This window comes from Homo sapiens, chromosome 6 (genome assembly GCF_000001405.40).
Source record: "Homo sapiens chromosome 6, GRCh38.p14 Primary Assembly".
NCBI classification, from domain to species: domain Eukaryota; kingdom Metazoa; phylum Chordata; class Mammalia; order Primates; family Hominidae; genus Homo; species Homo sapiens.
The window spans coordinates 129,081,839-129,104,417 of NC_000006.12; the positions used below are offsets into that span (position 1 = coordinate 129,081,839).

Consider the following 22,579-nt stretch of genomic DNA (forward strand, 5'->3'; position numbering starts at 1 on the left):
TTCTGAAGATAGAAAATAAGGATAATTTTTAAACACAAGAAATCACATGCTTTTCATATCATTATCAATGTGGAAAATGCTAAAACAACTTGCTATTAAAAACCATTTATCAGAAACTTGTTTAATTAATATGTCAAATATCTGGGTTTTTAAATCATGTATAACAATCAAAATATTCCTAAAAACATATTGAGAACTTTAACAAAACATTTTACAGTTGGAATGAAATTAGTACTGGATGATTGGATTAAAAGCCAGTAGAAATTATATATTATCCTATTTAAATGTAGGACTATATAAGTTATTGGTAATCCTTTTTCGTAATTTTATTACTTTTTCCAGTACCTAAGTGGATACTGGTGACTGGTATATAATAAGTAACCAATGAATAGATATTGAATAATGCATTGCTTTGCTCAATTTTCTCATCTCTGAGCTTTCCTGTCTGTGCTACTGCAACATTACTTTCTTAATTATATTCTCTCACTCCACTGCAATAATATTACAGATGTTATTCCCTGATTAAGAATAGTATAAATTGACAATCCAACCCCTCAAATGAAATTTTTTGGTGATCCAAACGTTTTAAACATCCAATAAAGATATAACATGCTAGTTCTCTAGTAGGCACCCATTTCCAGGTTTCCAAACGTTTCAACAAAAACATTTATATATTTCTCTATTGATTGCATAATGTGGAGATTCTGTTTTGAGAATGCACATAAAGTATATTATATTCTGAACTGTAACAAAATGAGACTCTAATTTATTCACAGTCCTTTTTAAATTTGTCTGTATTTTTGTTTTCCTGAGAAAAATCTTATCTTTATAGCCTCTCTGGATATTGAATATCTTGAGACTAGCTTTAATTCTCTTGATTTTTATTAAAACTTCTAATTCCAACTTTATTCGTGAACTACATGCTTATATAAAAGTACGTTTCATCAAACAGCTTTCTCTTTATCTCTTTAAAATCATTACCTTTTATTATTTTCAGTATGCTTTAATGCTTTAAAATTTTATTCTTGAAACATTTGGTTTTTCCATTGCTACTTTCCTATTGATTGTTTTCCTCATATGTATCTTGAGATTTTAGTCTAGGTTTTATAACAAGCATAGCTATATTTACAGATATTTTTTCTATAAAGTTTTCAATATAGATTCTGATTTTTTTATCTTATAAAAAATAGTTAACACCATTAACGTTTGGATTTATTTCTGTCTAGTTCTCCTCTGCTCACACACACACACACACACACACACGTGTACACACAAATACATATATATAAAATGGGCAGCACACTAATAAAGATAAAAATAAACTTTATAAAGTTTTACATTTTGTAACTGGATATTATATTGTGAACATCCCCATGTAACTGTGTAGTATTTGAAACTTAGTTATTTAAAAATTAAATTGCAAATGTATGATCTTATAGACTATTTTCCTGCTTCCAAGACTTCTTTGGAACTGTGGACTCCCTGAAATGCCAGGGTAACATAAGCGAGACAGAACAGCTAGCAGAACCTCAGGGAATACCACTGACTTTATGGTGTCAGCCAGTATCATGAGAGCCCACAATGTTGCCTTTCAAACCAAGTGATACATTTCTATCAATAATTAAATAAATTTGAAAGTACACTGCCATTGCATTTGCAATCTTCTTTCTTTGTTCTTTATTCATTGCAATAATAAAAACAAACAAACAAAAAACAACACCAAATCAAATGACTGTTGATGGGGGAATTATAAGAATAGATGGGAGTGAAGACCCAAGCTGACTTTACCTCCAACTCAAAGATTTTTGTCCACTAATCTAATTTCTCTTTCTCTCTGTGTTTGTTAAAAGTTTCAAAGTAGATGTAGGTTCTCTTGCCAAGTTGATACTCGTGTTCTTTCCTTTTCAAGATTACATAAAAAGTATAGCTTAGATCCAACGTATCAACCTGGAATAGGTGAAAATATCACTATTGATTATAACTAGTATTTAACGAGGCTTAATATGGACCAAACACTGATCTAGGTATTTCACATGTATTATGTTTTGTAATCCTCACAACTTTATGAAGGAAGTATATGTGTGAGAAAAGATACACACGATTAGATTTTGAGAGCCAGTGCAAACTGCACCGCAGGTGTATTGCCTGTTCAAATTTTTCTTTACCACTCTATATTAACACCTAAGTTAAAGGCCGGCACAATAAGCAATGTGTTGCTTGATAATATTTGTAAAACAAATGGATTAGTGAACAAGTTAATATGTCACTCTGTGGTCTTTAAAATATATATGGAAATGCAGAATATTAAAATCTGCAATACATATTTTGAAAAACAAAGGTGAGAGTAATGCTAGCCAAAGCAGGTTTGACTGCAGGCACAACTGTCCTTCCCACTCTTCTTAATTGAAGAGTCACCTCAATCCCCATTTGAATGTTCTCTTTTCAACCTCCTAAAAAGATTACTGAGAATGTAGATATTTAAATGTATTCTGTTCATCTTTAAATAATTTCATTTATGTTTAAGCTGCAAAAATTGATCTGAAGTTAGTCTGGTATATTGTGTACTTTAAGCATGTGATACATTTCTAAAATGTTGTTCATGTCAAGAATATCTACAATTCAAATCATGACCTTCTTTTGGCTTGTATTCTAATTTTGAAGTTTCTGACCTAGACACAAAAATGATTAACTGAAGAATTTTAATAGTTGTACTGTTGTTCTTCACTTCTATCAGTGATGATATTTGATAGTGTAATATGCTGAGCAGGCAAACAATGAAAAAGTCCCCTCCATGCAAAATGTATGTAAAATCAGCTTTCAATAAGTGAACAGTATTTACTACCTGCTGTTCCTTTTCACCATTTGCAGTACCATTCTTAGACTCACTGCAGGCATAAACCCTGGGATAAGGAAAAGTTAAGCCTCCATTCTTCATACCTCTAATAAGGCTTTGCCAATGGCTGCAATCATTTTACAACCATCCACTTATGTTTAGGTTTAACAGAGTCTTGGCTTCATAATGAAATACTTCATTAAAGTATTTTTATGATATCTGTTTACACATATGTTCATAGTAGAATTACATGGTGTTCTGTTATCCAGTCTTTGCCATTCACATGGACTCAGTTTATAGTGTCTGGTTATGCTACTGAAGATCTTCCTGCTTTACCATTTGCTGTTAAGTAATTGTAGTCAGACAGACTGCCCAGGAAGCCCCATGGACTCAGTTTTATCCCTTGGGTATCACAAATGAGGAAGAGTTTGATTCCATATTGGTGAAATACTACTTCTGTTTCCTAAAGATATGTTGTTTTCTAAGATTTGCTTCTAGATTTTGTGATTAAATGTTTTATTGGACAGGGATTTAAGAATCAGAATTTCATGACATTTTGTCCTACTTTAAATGGAAATGTCTATAGACTTTTCTAGTGAAGGCTTTTACAAATGTTAAGGGATGATTGAATGCTCACAGCAGGACACATGGCATTACAGAAAGTCTCCAAAATTATTCATCCTTTTGGGGACAACTATAACCATGATTTTTTGTGACACTCATAACCTGTTGAATTGGAAAAATATTAATGTTAGAAATCTGTTCTCATGTCACTTTTAAAATTCTTCTCCTTTTTTGCCTCCTGTAGCATGAGTCCTAGTTTGATTAAACTAGACACTTGATTTTCTCCAATGGTAACATGTTTTTAAAAAAGGACTTTTACTCTGTTGGAACCAATTAGGCCAATGTGAGGAACTTTGGAAGGAACATGAGCAGCCAAACTTGCTAACAGCAAAACGTATTTTTCTGAAGGCAGCATGAAAAGGACGGAGGAGTTCTCTAAGGACTGTGAGTTCCACGGGTCCTTTTGAGCTTCAGAAATCCAGCTCTCAGCACTTCATAAATCATTTCTGACCTGATGTCACTGAAGTTGTATTATTATGTGGTTAGTATAAAATTCAGAAAAATTGGGAGAAAATACAAGGAGAAGAATTTGCAGGGTGATTGTTGTAAGATTTTTATCATGTCCTCTTAAAAATGGTAGCTTTTCAGAAACTTTTGTTAACTGCTTTGCATTCCATCTTGAGAAAATGTCTGTATAGTTAGATGAGCATCATCTCCTCTCCTTGTTTTTAAATCACATCCAAAATGACATCAGGCTTGCAGCCGTCTCATTTTTTCCTTTTATTTACACTCTTCACACTTCATTGGCAATTGAGGTCACCACTTTAAAATTTAGGGTGAAGGCTAAAGACCAGCTTGACAAACTGTTGGCGGAATGCTCTCTTTTGCAAGTCTTCGTTTTGAAGAAAGAATGTGTGATTTAGAAATATTTAAGATTGTCATTTTGGTAGAACTTCTCATCTATCAATGCAGGGTGCAGCATCCCTATTTATTAATGTTGTGTTGGTTAGATATGTTCACCCATTAGGTACGTGCAGAGGTACCTGAAACCATCTGAGAGGTGGTATCCCATTTTTCATAATCTATTCAATTGAACTTTAAAAATAACTGAGCATCTTTTATATACAAGACATTAACAGACATTTATATTCTATGGTATCTACTGCTAGCAACTTATAACAGTTTTGGTGGTAAAATAAAGGCAAACTTGCTTCATAACAAAACAAAATTAAATTATCAAAAAGAAATGCTCAGTTGTTAATTTAAAATATAAAATGAGACATGAGAATAACCTTAGGTTAGAAATTCAGATGTAGAAAATATCTGTATAAAGAAGTTAGTTGAAATACTCATAGGCATGAAAGGTATTTTGCAAAAAGCAAAAGTAGGCAAAACTGGATCTATGAAGTTGCTCCATAATGTACTAGTCAGGTGAAGTAGCACAAATTACCTAGTGTATCAGTTTTCTTTTGTTAACACAACATATTACCACAAACTTAATGGCTTAAAACCTCACAAATTTATCTCACAGTTTAATAGGTTAGTAGTCTGACACAAGTCTCACTGAGCTAAAGTCCAGGTGTGGGTAGTATTGCATTTCTTTCTGGAGGCTCTAAGGTAGAATTCATTTTCTAAAATTCATTCATTTAGGATAGAAGCTGAAAGAATCAGTTTCTACAGGCTACCTGCATCCTTTGGCTCATGACCCCTTCCTCCATCTTCAAAGCCAGGAACAGGTTGAATCCTTCGTTGTACCACCCTAACCTCTTCTTTTGCCTCCCTCTTATACTTTTCAGGACCCTTATGATTACATTGAGCCCAGTGGATTATCCAGGGTGATCCTTTCATCTCAAGGTCTTTAACTGAATCATATCTACAAAGTTCCCTTTGCCATAAAAAGGGTCATATTCACAGGTTCCAAGAATTAAATATAGACGTCTTTGAGGGACCACTGTTTACTCTACCATAACTAGCCTATCTCATTTCAATTTTCTAATCAGTTACTACCTGTCTCTTAGAGTTCTTGTTAGCAGAAACAAATTTCTGTGTAATAAAGTGCCTGGCAAAAAGTAGGTCCTAAATAAAATGTTATTTTCCCCAAGGGAAAGATTATTAGGAATTATAACATTGGGACACACCTTTGTTTAAAAAGCTCTAATTAACAAGAACCACAGCAGGGGCGCACATACAGGGGTTGGAGAGAAATTCAGTTAGTGCTGTCTTCTGGACACTCCTTCTATCTTCATTCTCTCCTCTGCCATTGTTAACCTTCCATTTTAGGCAAGGAGCTGTATTAGGAAAATGTGGTTTCCTTTTATTAAAAGAAAATCTCTAAATTATTAATAGATATTACTTTTCCAAAGAAAATTTCAGAAAGGAGAAGAACAACATAATCAAAATCTGTGGACACTTTAAAGATAAGGATGATGGAGAAAGACTGAATTTTGCAAGCAGGTTATAATAACTCCTGAGAGTGATTGTAATAGGGTGATTAGGTCATGCATGGACTACAAGGGATCAAGTAGAAAAGGAGTGGTAAAGTAGTAAACAGCAGAGGGTACAGGCTACTCTTAAGAAAGTCCCTAGAGAAGGATAAGAAAATGGGGCAATACATAAGCTTGGAAATAGATGATGATATTTCTTTTTTTTTTAATTTAATTTTATTTATTTATTTTTTTTATTAATCATTCTTGGGTGTTTCTCACAGAGGGGGATTTGGCAGGGTCACGGGACAATAGTGGAGGGAAGGTCAGCAGATAAACAAGTGAACAAAGGTCTCTGGTTTTCCTAGGCAGAGGACCCTGCGGCCTTCCGCCGTGTTTGTGTCCCTGGGTACTTGAGATCAGGGAGTCCTGATGACTCTTAACGCGCATGCTGCCTTAAAGCATCTGTTTAACAAAGCACATCTTGTACCGCCCTTAATCCATTCAACCCTGAGTGGACACAGCACATGTTTCAGAGAGCACGGGGTTGGGAGTAAGGTCATAGATCAACAGCATCCCAAGGCAGAAGAATCTTTCTTAGTACAGAACAAAATGGAGTCTCCTATGTCTACTTCTTTCTACACAGACACAGCAACAATCTGATTTCTCTATCTTTTCCCCACATTTCCCCCTTTTCTATTCCACAAAACCACCATCATCATCATGGCCCGTTCTCAATGAGCTGCTGGGTACACCTCCCAGATGGGGTGGCGGCTGGGCAGAGGGGCTCCTCACTTCCCAGAAGGGGTGGCCGGTAGAGGCGCCCCCCACCTCCCTCCCAGACGGGGTGGCTGGCCAGGCGGGGGCTGCCCCCTACCTCCCTCCTGGACGGGGCGGCTGGCAGGGTGGGGGCTGCCCCCACCTCCCTCCCGGACGGGGTGGCTGCCGGGCGGAGACGCTCCTCACTTCCCAGATGGGGTAGCTGCCGGGCGGAGGGGCTCCTCACTTCTCAGACGGGGCGGCTGCCGGGCGGAGGGGTTCCTCACTTCTCAGATGGGGCGGCTGCCGGGCAGAGGGGCTCCTCACTTCTCAGACGCAGCGGCCGGGCAGAGACGCTCCTCACTTCCTAGACGGGATGGCGGTCCGGAAGAGGCACTCCTCACTTCCCAGACTGGGTAGCCAGGCAGAGGGGCTCCTTACATCCCAGACGATGGGCGGCCAGGCAGAGACGCTCCTCACTTCCCAGACGGGGTGGCGGCCGGGCAGAGGCTGCAAACTCGGCACTTTGGGAGGCCAAGGCAGGCGGCTGGGAGGTGGAGGTTGTAGCTAGCCGAGATCACACCACTGCACTCCAGCCTGGGCAACATTGAGCACTGAGTGAACGAGACTCCGTCTGCAATCTCGGCACCTCGGGAGGCCGAGGCTGGCAGATCACTCGCGGTTAGGAGCTGGAGACCAGCCCGGTAGATGATGATATTTCATTTGCAATAGCTAAAATTGACTAAGTGTTAAGTGACTCTGATCTGTTGAAAGAATTCATGAACCAAGATCAGAAACTTTCTTCTGTCTTTGATTTGTTATTCTACTCTGTTAACATTATACTTCTAACACTTCCCATCACTACAAATCTTTGCTATTAGTCCCCAAATGCTTTGAACTAGAGTGATTCATTTATGTGTGTAATGTCATAAATTGGAGAATGTGTAGGTTCATCTTACCTTGGTAAATACAGAAGCACAAAAAACAAAGGCAATGCCAGGTATTTCTCCAGGGTGAATAAATTTTAGAAGGCAAATTTAAACTGTCATATTTCTGATTGCCTGTGATTCACACCATTGTTGTACTCTGTGACAGTTTCATTGAAAGGACTGTCATGTTCCATGAGGAACTCAGCCTACCTGCTCTTTTACCAGTAGCTGGTGGGAAAGCCATGCTGTGCCAATGACTTATTCACAGGAGGCAGGTCAATCTTTTGAAACCACAGATTGTTTCAAATGAGAGAAAAATATGTGAGAAGAGAATAGATGTCAAGGGTAGTGCTAAAGACAAGGAAAATGCTTGCCTGGGTTTTCCCTGCAGCTGACGTTGTTAAAAATGATAGCAACTTAATGAAGCATGGCGTACTAAATGCATTAATAAGCTGAGGGAGGACCTTATTCATTCCAATTTGGACTCTGCTCACTCGTGTTACTCGTTTTCTTAAGACTGGACTAAAATTGTGAGACCTTATGGGCCAACGATACCCTTTAGAGCTGATAATTAATTTGAAAGAATTATTAAAGCATATTTCTTGAGCTAAGAATGCAGTGTATTCACAGTAAGAGGCAGAGTTAACCATTTATCAAGATAATTAAGAAAATGCATTAAATGTTTGCTCCGTAAGAGCAAGCACTAAATTACCAGTAGTAGTAATATTATTATGTGAAAGGGAATCAATAGTTTGTTTACTAAAATGAGATGCATTAGCAAGCTTTTTTATTCTGATATAAAAATTTTCAAATATACACAAAAGTATAGAGAATACCGTGGACTCAAATGTACCCAACACCCATCCATAAGTATTAACTCAGGACCCCTCTTGTATCAGTTTTCAACCCATCCACATCCTACTCCACCCCTCCAGATTATTGGGAAGCAAATTCCATATGTATTACTCGCTTTGTAACTACTTCATTATGTATCTCTGAAGGATAAGACTCTTTTATAAAGGAAACCATTGTCACATCTAAAAATTAATACTATTATACTGATTCTTTAATATTAACAAATATTTACTCAGTATTCAAATTCATCACACCTGCTTCCAAGTTTTTTAAAAACAGTTGAATCAGGATTCACAAGAAGTCACATACTGCATTTGTTCGATATATCTAGGTCTCTCAATCAATAACATTTTAACTTCCTTGCAACTTATTTTTTTGAAGAAACCACGTTGTGTGTCCAGTAGTGTTTCTTACATCCTGCATTTTGCTACTTAGGGTTCCTGTAGTACTGTTTGCATATTTCTCTACTACTATATTTCCTGAAAACTGATAGATAAATTTAGAGAGTTACTCTGATTCAGGGTTCATATTTTTGGCACAACCACTTTATAGATTGTGCTATGTGCTTCCATCACACTGCAGAAAATATCTGGGTGTCTCTTTTTTGGGGATGTTTCTGGTCATTGATCAGCATTAATGGCCACAGGTCCATCATTTTATGGGGGCTCCCTTCATAGTAAACTGCACAGTAAACTATACACAGTGAACCTTGTGGTAAACTGTAGCATCCTGTGTACTATAGCAATTTACTCCATGTTGCTTTTTTCATTTAACAATAAATCCCGCCATTCATTGCTCTTCCATCTCAGGGTTTTCTTGCTTATTATTGCTTGTTAAAATTCTTCCAAATCACATTTATAATCAAGTCGTTCAGCACTAAGGAAAAAAAATAACATTTTCATGAAAAAATGAAATTGCATTACATTTATATATTCTCTTAGGGACATTGAAAATAAGTCTTGCTATTTTTCAGAGCTAGACTTTGAGATTTGCTTTTTTGCAGAGTGAGATAGAGAAGTCCTTCAAATACTGTCCCTTGAAGAGTTAGGCATTGATTTAAACCCTTTTGAAAAACAATTTCAACAAATAATTGAAAATGTTCTCTTCAAAGTATTATCATTAGTCATCCAGTTAGATTATTATTATTAGGAATTCTGAGGTGGTGGAATAATTCATTTTCCAATGTGTTAACTTCTCATGAGTTTAATGTGAGTATAAAAAGTCTGTTTTAACTGAGGGCAGAGTATTCCTTTTTCTCTTATAATACAGGAGCCAGTTACAACACAGGAGGTGAAATGGCCTGTTTGCTTACCTGCAACTTCAGGAATTTCATGCTTAGCAATTAATTGCAGTACACACTTGTGGGGGTAGGGGTAGGAGGTTGGATAAGTGGGTTGCACTTAATAATTCAGTGACAATTACAAATCGTTTCACTATATGTGAAAGTATTTGAAGTAAATTTACCTGAAGATAGAAAATATGGGTGGGCAAGCTCCTCCTGAACTCCCCACCACATTATTCTAGGTTTATTGAAGTAAATGTAAACTTATAAGGGGACATAAAACTCACACAGAAAATAATAATTAGACATATTTCCACATTAATGTTTTTAAGTTTAAAACATCATTTAAAAATTTTATCACTGATGCTTGACTTAAACAAGTCCACTTATAGCATTGTCAGAATCTGTATAAGTATCTCTTCAGGGAATTTTTAAGATGAGAGTGAACAATTTTCTGAGATTGCCTACACATTTTTGTTACACAGTAAGAGCCAGGTTCTATGTGGCTTAGGTGGGGATGGGGCTTTGAGTGAATCCTCTGTTGTACACAGACTTAATACATTCTCCATTTCAGCCCACTTTTCACCTCTGTTTTCATCAGACCTACCTCGGTGAGGTTCTAGACTTCTGCCCTGCTGCAGCTACTCAGTACTTTAGGCCATGACCTCCGCTCTCCTTCCTCAGCAACTCACCACAGACCTTCCAGAAAAATGTTAAACCCTTCTCATCCTTTTCTTGTTATTGGTTTCTATTTTCTTTCTTTCTTTTTTCTTTAGCGTCACAGGGGAAGAGCTGATAATTGTATTGGCTATATGTATCAACTCAAACAGAGAGACATTACCTGCAGTTCTATAAAGATTCCCAGATTATTCCAATGGGTATTAAGCTTGAAAACATGATGTCTATGATCCTTTCTGGTTCTGATATTGTATAACTCTCATCACTTAATGAAAGCCACCGTTCCTATTTGGATAAATAAGAGAATTGAAAAACGCACTATTAGAACTGAGAGTACAGATGAGCTTTCCAAATATATTAGAGATGGCATCACAGTACATGGAAATGTTAAAATCCATAACATGGGCAAGAGCACATACTAGAAAAGTGCAGAACCTCTTTAGAAGTGAAGCATTTTCGTTCCATGCACATCAATTTGCTATAGGAGTTCAGGGACAAATAGCAATATGGGAAGGAGGCGGAGCTCAACATTGAGCAGAAATTAGACACATGCTGTTCTCTTGAGAGATTAAGAAAGAATAAATAGAAGAGAGTAAGTCAGGTCCTATGAGAAGGATAAAGCATTGTCTTCCATAGAGAGTGACCTTCATTAATATTTTTTACGGCTTTTGTGGAGATCAGCCTAAGGAAACAGAAGTCCTATGGCCTTATTACATCATTACAGAATCACACTTTGGCTGGGTCTCTTAACTGTGTAACAGTGGTGCTCAAAAGTCTCTGTAAATCTCCAAAACACAATACTCTTTAGTAGCATTTCTTAGATTTGTGATTCTTCTGGGGACAAAGGATCTGGGATACAATGGGTTCCCGAGTGCAGTGGTGTGATCTCGGCTCACTGCAACCTCCGCCTTCCGATTTTCAAGCGATTCTCCTGCCTCAGCTTCCGGAGTAGCTGGGATTACAGGCGCCCACCACCACCCCCGACTAATTTTTTTTTTTTGTATTTTTTAGTAGAGACGGAGTTTCACCATATTGGCCAGGCTGGTCTCGAACTCCTGACATCGTGATCCGCCTGCCCCAGCCTCCCAAAGTGCTGGGATTACAGGCGTGAGCCACCGTGCCCGGCCGAGGATTTTTTTTTTTTTTTAAATCAAGACTTAGCAATGCATGTTCTAGAAACTGATTCTGGTTTTCAGACTTAACTAACATGGGTATAGGTGAGCTAAGATATTAAGCTGCAGGGAAGGGTCTAGAGTAGCTAGAGTTCCTGGGCTGCTCACTTCAAGCTATGAGGTCTCCTGAACACTGGTAAAAACCCCAGTGCTGTACAAATATCATTTTATCTTAGCCATGATGTTCAAGATTGGAAAGCATAACTCTATGTGATGATCATTGTCCGTTGCTTATTATTTTGAGACTAAAGGATTCTTAAGAAAGACCCTATTCTCCATTTCCACACTAAATGAGATCAAGTTCTTAATACTCTTCTTATTATAGGAGGAACATCTAATTCAATGCTACATCAGTAATTAAATGATATTTTGTTAGGTGACATGCAAATGAGTAACAAATGGAATATGAAATAGAAAGTTCCCTTTGTTATGTAAATTGTCAAACACTTGATATTGTTTTTAAAGTTATTTGGGATTTTTTTAAGACACCAAGTTTGTAACAAGTGCCCTTCAACAGAAAAGACACTTGGATATCATGAGATGTTCTCTTAGGTTCCTCAAAGCCTAGCAGTCATAGCATTTTAATACTTACTAGTGGGGAGTCTGCCTTCCCTGCTGCACACCAGAACAGACTGGGGTGGGGGTTAATCATCTGGAAATGAGGTATTATAACTACTGATTTTGAAGAGTCTTTATAATGAAAACAAGACACAGTTAATAAAAGTAGCATAGAAAACATTAGAGAGTTATTTTATTAGGGCCATTAAATATTTGGAGTACAGTACTTAGAAAATCACTGTTAAAATTGTTACAGTTACTCTCTGAAGCCTGCTAAGAATACTGCTATTTATTACATTTTTAATAATGCTATTCACTACATTTTAAAAGTTTACTCAAAAACTACATGACTTTCAAGTCATTTAAGAAGTCCAAAAGAAATTCCATGCCAACAAATTTAATTAATTTTGCATGGAATGTGAAAGAACCCATAGAAAATAAATGAAAGAGGGATATTGTTTTGAAATGGGACTCATTCAGTCTTCTGTAAGGCGGTGACTGCTTTTCCGTGTCACTGCTGGCAGTTATGTTGAATTATAGAAAGAGTCTGTGGGGTCTCTAGTAGAACTTCTCTTCGTGGATTATTTTTATCTATTATTCCAGAGCCAACACAGGAGCTATGAAGTCATAAATCCACATTGTAGCTGCATGAGAACTTGGCCTTATCACATATTTGCATACTCAGTGCTTTCTAAGCAAAGTTCTTTATCCATAACCTTAGTGTAGTCTTATTTTTCTTAGTGGGTACCTGTGATCTCTAATATGCTTTGCTATCTCTCTTTTTGTTTTATATCTTTAAAAAAATCTCTATGTTTTTATTTTTTCTGGAAGGAAACAGGCTCACTTGGAATATTTACCTAGATTCTCTCTTTCACAAGAACACGCAGTATTTTGTATTCATTATCTCATTATCTCTTCCCTGGTTGTGTCTTTAGAAAAGAAACAATGGATAACAGAGGGTAAAAGAGTTTCAGTAATTTTCTCAGCTCACAGAGACCTAATAGGACAAATACTCCAGGAACGTATGCCTTAGTTCCTGCAGATGACAATATATGCTAACTGGGATTCAAGCTCTAACAAACAGGCAAGACCAATGTCAAACTAATAACCATAACGTGGAAGCACATTACAGTGATTTTGGCTATCCAACTAAATGTAATAAATATCAAATGCCCACCATTTCAGAAGAATTATAATAAGGAATATAGCATCTTTAACCCATTTCTCATTTGCCTGAAGAATACTTGCAGACAGCATTTGTGGCTTAATGTTTACCCTGAGATAACTTGTGGCTTACTGTCCTAACCTTATCCCCAAAGTTTGCCATGAAATATCTCACTTTTATTATTATTTTTGCATAGGTCTAGCATATTGACTTTGGAAACAAAAGACATCATTCTATTTGTAGCATTCTGTGTTTGATAGTAGTATTTCCATATACAAAATATAGTAATTATTGATTGCTGAAATCAAATCCTAGAAAATACAGCATTCCTATATAAAAAATTATTAAATTCTGATCATCATATACATTTCTGTTACATTAGGATTAGAGATAAGTTTTATTTAGAAATAACTCTAAGAAACGTTTTTATATTTTATTTTCACATTGAAAATAAGTCAGATTTGCTTCAGCCTCAAAAAATGTGTTTATGTAAAATTAAATGAGAGCTGGCAGTGAGCTGTACATTTTTTTTCCTAATGGGACATGGGTTATGGGTTAAAGATGTACAAGCTGGCCGGGCACGGTGGCTCATGCCTGTAATCCCAACACTTTGTGAGGCTGAGGCAAGTGGATCACCTGAGGTTAGGAGTTTGAGACCAGCCTTACCAATATGGTGAAACTCCATCTCTACTAAATACAAAAAAAAAAAAAAAAAAAATTAGCCAGGCGCAGTGGCACCTGCCTGTAATCCAGCTACTTGGGAGGCTGAGGCAGGAGAATTGCTTGAACCTGGGAGGCAGAGGTTGCAGTGAGCCAAGCTTGCGCCATTGCACTCCATCCTGGACAACAGAGCAGGACGCAGTCTGGAAAAAAAAAAAAAGTGTAAAAGCTAGAGGCCCTGGCCTCCACAAGCCCACAATTTAGTTATTCTTCTTCTTTATGATTTTAAGACCTTGTCAGGAATACTTTGGGATTATCAGTAGTTAGGACCAAGATATTTCATATTTTATAGCAGAGACAACTCTATCTGTGCATTTTATAAGATTAATCCATTGGTATGTTTCTTGTTGAATTTCTATATAAAGACATTCTACGTGATGAGTTGTTCAATATGAACTGTCTAAAAAACAATTCCTTATGAATAATACCTAAAAATGCATAAGTAGCAAATATCTTTTATAGTGGTTGATGTAACATATTCTATGTTGTTCCTACTTTTGCCCTTTCTCTGTTACTTATTTTACTTTGTCTTTATTTTAAAGATAATTTTATTTAAAAGTAAAACATTTATGTTCATACAAAAAATATAGCAGAATACGGGATGGAAAATAAAAGTCCTCCTCTTTTCTTGACTCCTAAAGGTGGCAGCTTTAATATGTTCACATAATTCCTCTCCCAAAATGTCTTGGCATATTCAAGCAGTTACAGGCACATACATAGATATGTGTGTCTATCTGCAGTTATACCTATCTATATGCCTTTGTAAATATAAATTCATCAGTATTTCTCACCTGCAGTGATACTCAATAAAACAGAATGCTCAAAGCCCAGACCCCTCAGGACAAATATCTTGGCTGTCCTTGCTATGCTGGGGTCAATCAGATGGTCTCAGGGGAGAGGAGGCATTTGGGAGGTTGGGCAGCAGTGATTTGTCAACAAGTACAGAAGCATTTCAGTATTTTATCCACTAGTTGTTCCACAACTGTGCCTAAAAGGCTAATACTAACCCTACTTTGACTCATTCGATGGGTGATTTCCCCTCCATGGCTCTCAAGCATGCATGCATTCAAGTAAACATCTTGAAGGAATAGCATCAGAGCCACCTGTATTACCGCATTCCATACCAAATTTTTATATTTTTAAATCTAGTCCCTTAGGGTATACCATAGATCCTATACACGTATGCATGAGTTACCATGTCAAAACTATGAAGCAGATAAAATTTGTTTCTAGAGCATCCCTTTCAGGATTCCCTCTGTAGCTCAGCAGTCCTGTTAATCACATTGTAGTGAGCCTGTCCTCCCAATTGTGCCCCACCAGTGACCTCATCCACTTAGAGCTTAGAGCTGCCAAGCTCTCATACCTCATAGCATTTACTAGTCAAGAACATATCATACTGTTTTATTATTATAGCACTTTTCATTTGTCTCATTATTACAATATATTAACAACACATTGATGGTGGAATAGTAATTTAAACTAATTCATATCTGTCTTTCTACCTAGAACATTGTACATAAATGTCATTCCATAATGTTTCTTCACTATTCTTTTGGACTACATTGGTAAAGACACAGATATGCACTACCACAAAACATCTAGAATATTTCTTTTTTTACGTCTTCAAATTCTATATAAATTTGTAAATAGAGCATTGCCACATTCCTCTCCATTGTCACTCTGTTAACAGTAACAATACCTCTTTATTTCACCCCTTTTCTTGCATGTTTACCTTTTGTAAAGAGAAGGTACAGAAACCCTTCATTTAATGTGTTTCAGGTTCAATCCGTTGTCTTCATAACACTGGAATTTCTCCTCCATTATTTTCTATTTGGGGATGTAAAGGAATGGACATTTATTGAGGATTTACTGCCACAATGCTAGAACCACAATCTGAACATAGGAATGTGTTTATGTTGTTTTTGCTGTACCATACTAACTGCCTCTAAATGGCACTTTTTTGAGGATTATGTGATATAAGTAAACAAGTTTTCTAAACTATCAAGCACTATTCACACTGGGAATTTCTAGCTTGTATTTTACAGTCTTTAACACAGTAAGGTGAGTAAATTGGTATGTACTATTAATAAATGTTTTAGGTGGTAATAATTATAATGGAACTTTAAACATCAGGTGAAATGTTGCCAATGAGTTGTTACTAAAATCCAGTCTTAATCCATTTCTTTTAAAGCCATGGTTGTCAAAACAAAACATCACTTCTTAGCAAAAAATTATTAGATATGAACCTGTAATAGTAAAATCATTTCAGAGAACATTATAAGATTATAGAATAAAATCTGAAATAAAATCTACTGTAGCATTTAGACTTATATTTGACATAAAATGATGAGAATATTTGGGAATTCAATGTTATTGTTGTTGTTATACTTCCCTAGGTGTTCCAGATCGCGTATGTGATTGTGAAGGCAGCTAACTCCCCCCGGCCTGGAAACTGGATTTTGGAACGCTCTCTTGATGATGTTGAATACAAGCCCTGGCAGTATCATGCTGTGACAGACACGGAGTGCCTAACGCTTTACAATATTTATCCCCGCACTGGGCCACCGTCATATGCCAAAGATGATGAGGTCATCTGCACTTCATTTTACTCCAAGATACACCCCTTAGAAAATGGAGAGGTAAGATGAGAAAACTCACCATTTAAGCACATTTGATACGGTGAAATAGGCCTGTCAGAAAGACCTGAATATATCAGTAATTAATGTCAGGGAGATTTTAAAATAGGATTTAGCAAAAGTACATTTAAATGAGTTATTAAATAAAAAAGAAAAACCTGAGGTGATTAGAATTTTAACTACCTTCATGTGTCTCCCATCTCCAGTAAAGATCAGAGAAGAGGAAATAGGTTTAATCTGGAAAGTCAATGATTAATTTTACATATAAAGAGACTTTCTCAACAATGAGGATTGCTAATGATTAGAGAAGGATTGGAGACCTTAAAGGTGGCCTTACATTTGAGTGTACTTTGGTCTGAAGATGGAGACAAAAGAAATGAATTTGTGAAGAAATGTAATCCACATGAAAGACCCAAATGAAAAGTAATTCTTTCAATCTTTTGATGTTTTTCTGCTGTCACCACATAGGGCTACAGTGGGGTTTCTTCCCTGGGTCAGGCTTTGTGGAACAGTAATGTGCAGGAAGTCTTAGGTTCTCAGTGATGTGCAAGCTAGGTTACGTGCTTAGTTCAAATATGTTCTTCTCCAGTGTCTGTCATCCTGTGGTTAAGATTTTAGATTCATTCATTGATTTTAAGCCACATATTCTAACCATGGCTTCAGTTGTTATTAGTTTATTAGTTGTATGTGGGGGCGGGGAGGTTTTTTTTTTGTTTTTTTTTTTTTTGTTTTCTGGCTTAGTTGTGTGTTCTTGATCCAGTTACTTAAATTCTCTGCACCTCAGTTTCATCGCCCATAAATCAGGAATAATAATAGTTCTTACCTCATATAATTGTCAAGAGGATTAAATGCATTATTGTATTTAAAGCATTAGAACAATGCTGAAATGCACACTAAGTACTCTGTGCTATTTTTATTGTTTTGTTGCCATTAAGGAAATAATAACCATTACTACTATTATTTTTATTATTATCCTTAGTCTTCTCTCAAATACCCAAACTTTGACTTAGTGACTCTCTTGAATTATTCAATATTTCTTTAGTATGTTTCCCTGACTTGTCTCCCTTTAGTATATGTGACCCACCTCCTTTCATGCTACCTAATTATGTATATCTCCATTGATACTCATGTCTGATATTCTCTCCCACATAGTCCAAACATCTGAAGCTAGTATCATCATTTATATTTACATTTTCAGAAAACCCATATTCACATTCTATCATGCCCACCCCAGCCAATCTAGGGTTATCTCTCAACACTTCTAGGGAAAATTAGGGTTTTGGCATAAATCTGTCAGACCCTCATTAGGCACTATTTTTATATTAATGTATACCAGTGCTTCACTATATTTTAAATTCCATGTTCAAAAATACCAGTTTTGGGGAAAAACATTCCAAATGGTACTCTCAGCAGAAATCTCAATCTGCCAAATGACAAGGACTCAAATGCAGTGAGTCAAACAGCTGTTCAACCTGCTTTGTGCCTAGAGGCATCCAATTCCTGGCCAGTTTGGCCTGAGGATATGGGAGTAGGGAGTGCAGAAAGAGTTTTGAGTTGAATTTTTATTATTTTTTATCCTAGATTCAGTTTACATAAGACTAATAATTCTCAAACAATTTAAGACTATTCTATACCTTTAAAAATGATTCAATTCAGAAATTTATTAAGCAATATAAAATACACTTCGGCAGGTATGTAACATGCGTGTCACAAGCATATACCCTACCCATTCTCTCCCTTCATTAATAATGGTTCTCCATTCCTTAAACCAAGTCAGCCTGCCAATATGAAACAAAAGACATGTTTATTAGTTAATTAGTTAGTTTCTTTAATTGGCTATATTGTTTTCACTCCTAAACAACACTTACTAAAAACTGCTTATTGATGGTAACTATTAGGAGCAACTGACTGAACTGTCTCTGTGACATGTTTCCTTACGTCTATTTGTCACTCATGGGGAAGTGAATGAAATAAGGAACAGAAAGTAATTCAAAATATTTGCCATAGAATGATAAGACTGAAGAATAAGAATTAAATTCAGACCTCTCCTAGGCTATCTATTCATTTTATATAGCTTACTTTGTGGAATATGTTACTTTTTTGAATAGACAGGTGATATCCTCCAAGACTCTCAGCTCAATGATAATATAACTGAAATAATAATTGAGGTCTCTGATTCTCAGGTAAATATTTCATCCATAATCTGGTAAGGATTAAAAGTTGACTTTTAAAAGTTGACAATCGCTAAACTTAAAAATGGTTCAGAGGAGATACAATATTGCTGGATCTAATGTAAGTAGAAAGAATCCTAATTCTGATATATCATGGCATAGAAAAAGACACAAGGAATTAGAAGACCTGGATTCTGGTACTGGTTCCAGTTATTTGTGGGACCTTGGTCAAATGATTTAATCTCTCTGGGATTAAATTTCTTTAATAGATGAATTAGTTCAATGCCCAGATTGTTCTAAGGCAGCATGGTATTTTCTAAAATAATATAGCTTTGGCTATCATACAACATTTGAGGATATTCTAAAAGTTTTGGATACTTTTCTCTAACATTATCCAGACAAAGTAGCTGTGGAATAAATCTCACTCGTCAGCTTTAGTTTTAAAATTATGTACTTTCACATAATCCCTGGAATACAATTATTAATTGTTTATGTTCAAAACTTTACAGAGAAGTGACAGTCAAATAAGAGAAACAAACATATAAACCAGTAAATAAAACATGATTGCATAAGTACTGTAACAGTAGTGTATACAGAGAGCAATAAATCTCCCCCTGCTTGAGTGGAAGGAGGCACATTGAGAAGATAACTTCTCAGAATATGGGAAAACCAGCAACAACTCTTATCTCAAAAGTCTCAAAGCCAATATGCAAATTCATCTCCAATAATGCCTATGTGTTAAACTCGGTACATACAGAATTTACCTCCATTGTTGAGGGATATTGTTATCAGATGTAGAATTCTAGGTTTGCAGTTATTTTCTTTTGGCACATTTTATTGTTTTCTGATTTCCATTGCTTATGTAGAGAATGCAGCTATCCGATTACTATCTTTTGGAGTGACTTTTCTCTGATTTATTTAAATATTTTTTTCTTTGTTCTTCAGTAGTTTTACTATGATGCTTCAGATCTTCACTGCCCACTACAATAGCCACTAGCCATATGTGGTAATTCAAATTTAAATTTCAGTTAATCAAAATTAAATTAAAATTCCATTTCCCCATTACACTAGCCACATTTCAAGTACTCAGTAGCCACATGGGACTAGCAGCCACCACACTGGATTGGGCAGAAAGCAACACTGCCATTATTGCACAAAGTTCTGTTGGGCAATGCTACTTTAGATTGTACCTTTTTATTTTCTACATATCTGCAAAGTGATGTCTTTCATCAGTTCAGAAAACTGTTCAGTCATTACCTCTCTAAATATTGCTTCTTCCGCATTCCCTCTGCTCTATGATTCTAATTAAAAATGACTTGGAACTTTTTACTGTATACACTATGTATTTTAAACTCTCTTCTTTAGTTTTCATCCTTTTGTCTTTCTGTATCTTCATTCTAGGTATTTTCTTCTGGATTACTTCTAGTTCATTAATTCTCTTCTCAGCTATGTAAATATTGCTATTAAAGTTATTCATAGGATTCTTAATTTCATATATTTTTCAGTTTCTAAATTTCTCTGGTTCATTTTCTTTTTTTCTTTCTTTCTTTTTTTTTTTTTTTTGAGACCGAGTCTCGCTCTGTCACCCAGGCTGGAGTGCAGTGGCGCCATCTCAGCTCACTGTAACCTCCGCCTCCCGGGTTCCCGGGTTCAAGTGGTTCTCCTGCCTCAGCCTCCTGAGTAGCTGGGATTACAGGCGCGTGCCACCATGTCCACTTGATTTTTGTGTTTTCAGTACAGACAGGGTTTCACCATGTTGGTCAGGATGGTCTCGATCTCTTGACCTCATGATCTGCCCACCTTGGCCTCCCAAAGTGCTAGGATTACAGGCATGAGCCACTGTGCCCAGCCTGGTTCATTTTCAAATAGAAGTTGTTTCTCATTTTACATTGAAATTTTATATTTATAGTAAAATTTTAATTTAATAATATGATTTATTCTAAAATTTTCAATATTCTATTTTTAATCTCCTTGAGCATAAAGTAAAAATTATCTTTAAAAGTTTTTGTCTGATAATTCTAATATATGGCCTTTTTGGATATATTTTATTTTCTGTTTCATCTGCTGATTCTTTTTATGCTGTCTTACATTCTTGTGTGCCTGATTATCTTTGTATAACAGAAGTTGTATTTGAAAGAGAATGTGTAGAAATAATTTGAGAGCTAGTATATTGTCTTCATCCTGTGTGAACTTTCTGATGCTACTGCCAGGCAATGGAAATCTGGATCATCTTAATTCAATTTTAGGGATTCAAATTTCTGGGACATTCAGATGATTCAAAGCATTGCTATAACCCAGTGACAGCTGCTTTAATTCCAGTATACGCTCATTCCCATGCTGCTTATCTTTGGAGTCCAAGCCAGCGTGTGTGGGAATTACGAAAGTCCCACCCATGCAGTCCTGGAATCCAACTTTTGTCCTCCTAATACAGCAGGGCTGTCAAAAGAGCTGCTCAGTCTCTCAGCCATGTGTCTGGACAGGAAAATGCTCACAGGACAAAAGCTGTCACAACGTACCAATCACCTGTCTAGACATCTCTTTTGTCCTTGATGTTGAGAAGGTTATCTTCACTCTCTTGATAGCTCTCACATGGCTTTAAACATATGTTTTTGTATATTTATCCAGTTTGTCTAGTTGTTGTCATTGAGAGTGTTGACTCTTACTGTATAATCTACCATAAATAGAAGCGAAGTTGCACATGCATTTAATTTTTTTTATTTTGGAATTATGTTAAGTTTACACACATGTATGAAGATTATAGAGAATCCTCACATTCCCTCATCCAGCTATCCCTAGGAATAATATCTTAAATAATGACAATGCACATGTTAAAACTAAGAAGTTAGCATTGATACATTATTGTTATCTAAACCACAGACCTTATTCAGGTTTCATTCATTTTACCAATTTCATTTTTTCTCTTCTGGGATCCAATTCAGGTACTATTTTGCATTTAGTCACTGATCTGTGACAGTTTTAAGAGATATTTTAAGAAATATTTTAAGAGATATTTAGAGATATTTTATAGACTATTATTCAGTTTGGGTTTGCCTGATGTTTTTTCATGGTTAAACTGGGCTTCTGGATTTTGGGAACCAATACTACAGAGGAAACAGTTTCTCATTGCATCAATCATTTTTTATTAATATATGCATATTTTTTTCTTTTTTATTGGTTTATGGGGCTTGTGCTTCTATTAATAGGTAGATTTTTAAAATGTTTTTAATTTTTATGGTTACATAGTAGGTGTATATATTTTAGATAGATTTTTAACGTGGACAGCAGTATCTAAATATTTACTGTGATTTGTAATGTATATTTTTCACTAAGCATTGAATGGTCATTTTCTTCCAGACCTTCAAAATATTCCTTAAATATGTCAGAAATAAGAAAAACAAGTCCCTCCCTCTCTGCCTTCCTCCCTTCCTTCCTTCCTTCCTTTTTTTTCTTTCTTCTTTACAAACAGGTTCTCATTGTGTTGATCAGGCTAGAGTCCAGTGGCATGATTATAGCTCACTGCAGGCTCAAACTCCTAGGCTCAAGAAATCTTCCTACCTAAAAAATCAGCCTCCAGCTAATTTTTTAAAATTTTTTTGTAGAGACAGGGTCTTGCTATGTTGCCCAGGCCGTTCTCAAACTCCTGGCCTCAAGTGATCTTTCCACCTTAGTCTTCTAAAGTTACAGTCTTCTGAGATTACAGACATGAACCACCATGCCTGGCCCAGAGGAATTTTTAAGGCCCACCCATGTAACAAGGCATTATGAAATAAACATGTCTCAATTGTTACACACTAGTTAGACAACAATGTTCATGTTTTAGGCTTAGAACATTAA

The 22,579-nt window shown here is 36.1% G+C and overlaps 1 protein-coding gene across 2 annotated transcripts in view; it reads left to right on the forward strand.

Annotated features, from left to right (window-relative positions):
* LAMA2 (laminin subunit alpha 2) overlaps nucleotides 1-22,579 on the forward strand; it is a 633,429-nt gene that overhangs the window by 198,701 nt on the left and 412,149 nt on the right. For both annotated transcript variants that reach the window (NM_000426.4, NM_001079823.2), the window contains exon 4: nucleotides 16,335-16,577. In NM_000426.4, the coding sequence (NP_000417.3) occupies nucleotides 16,335-16,577 (243 nt within the window). The remainder of the gene's footprint in view (nucleotides 1-16,334; nucleotides 16,578-22,579) is intronic.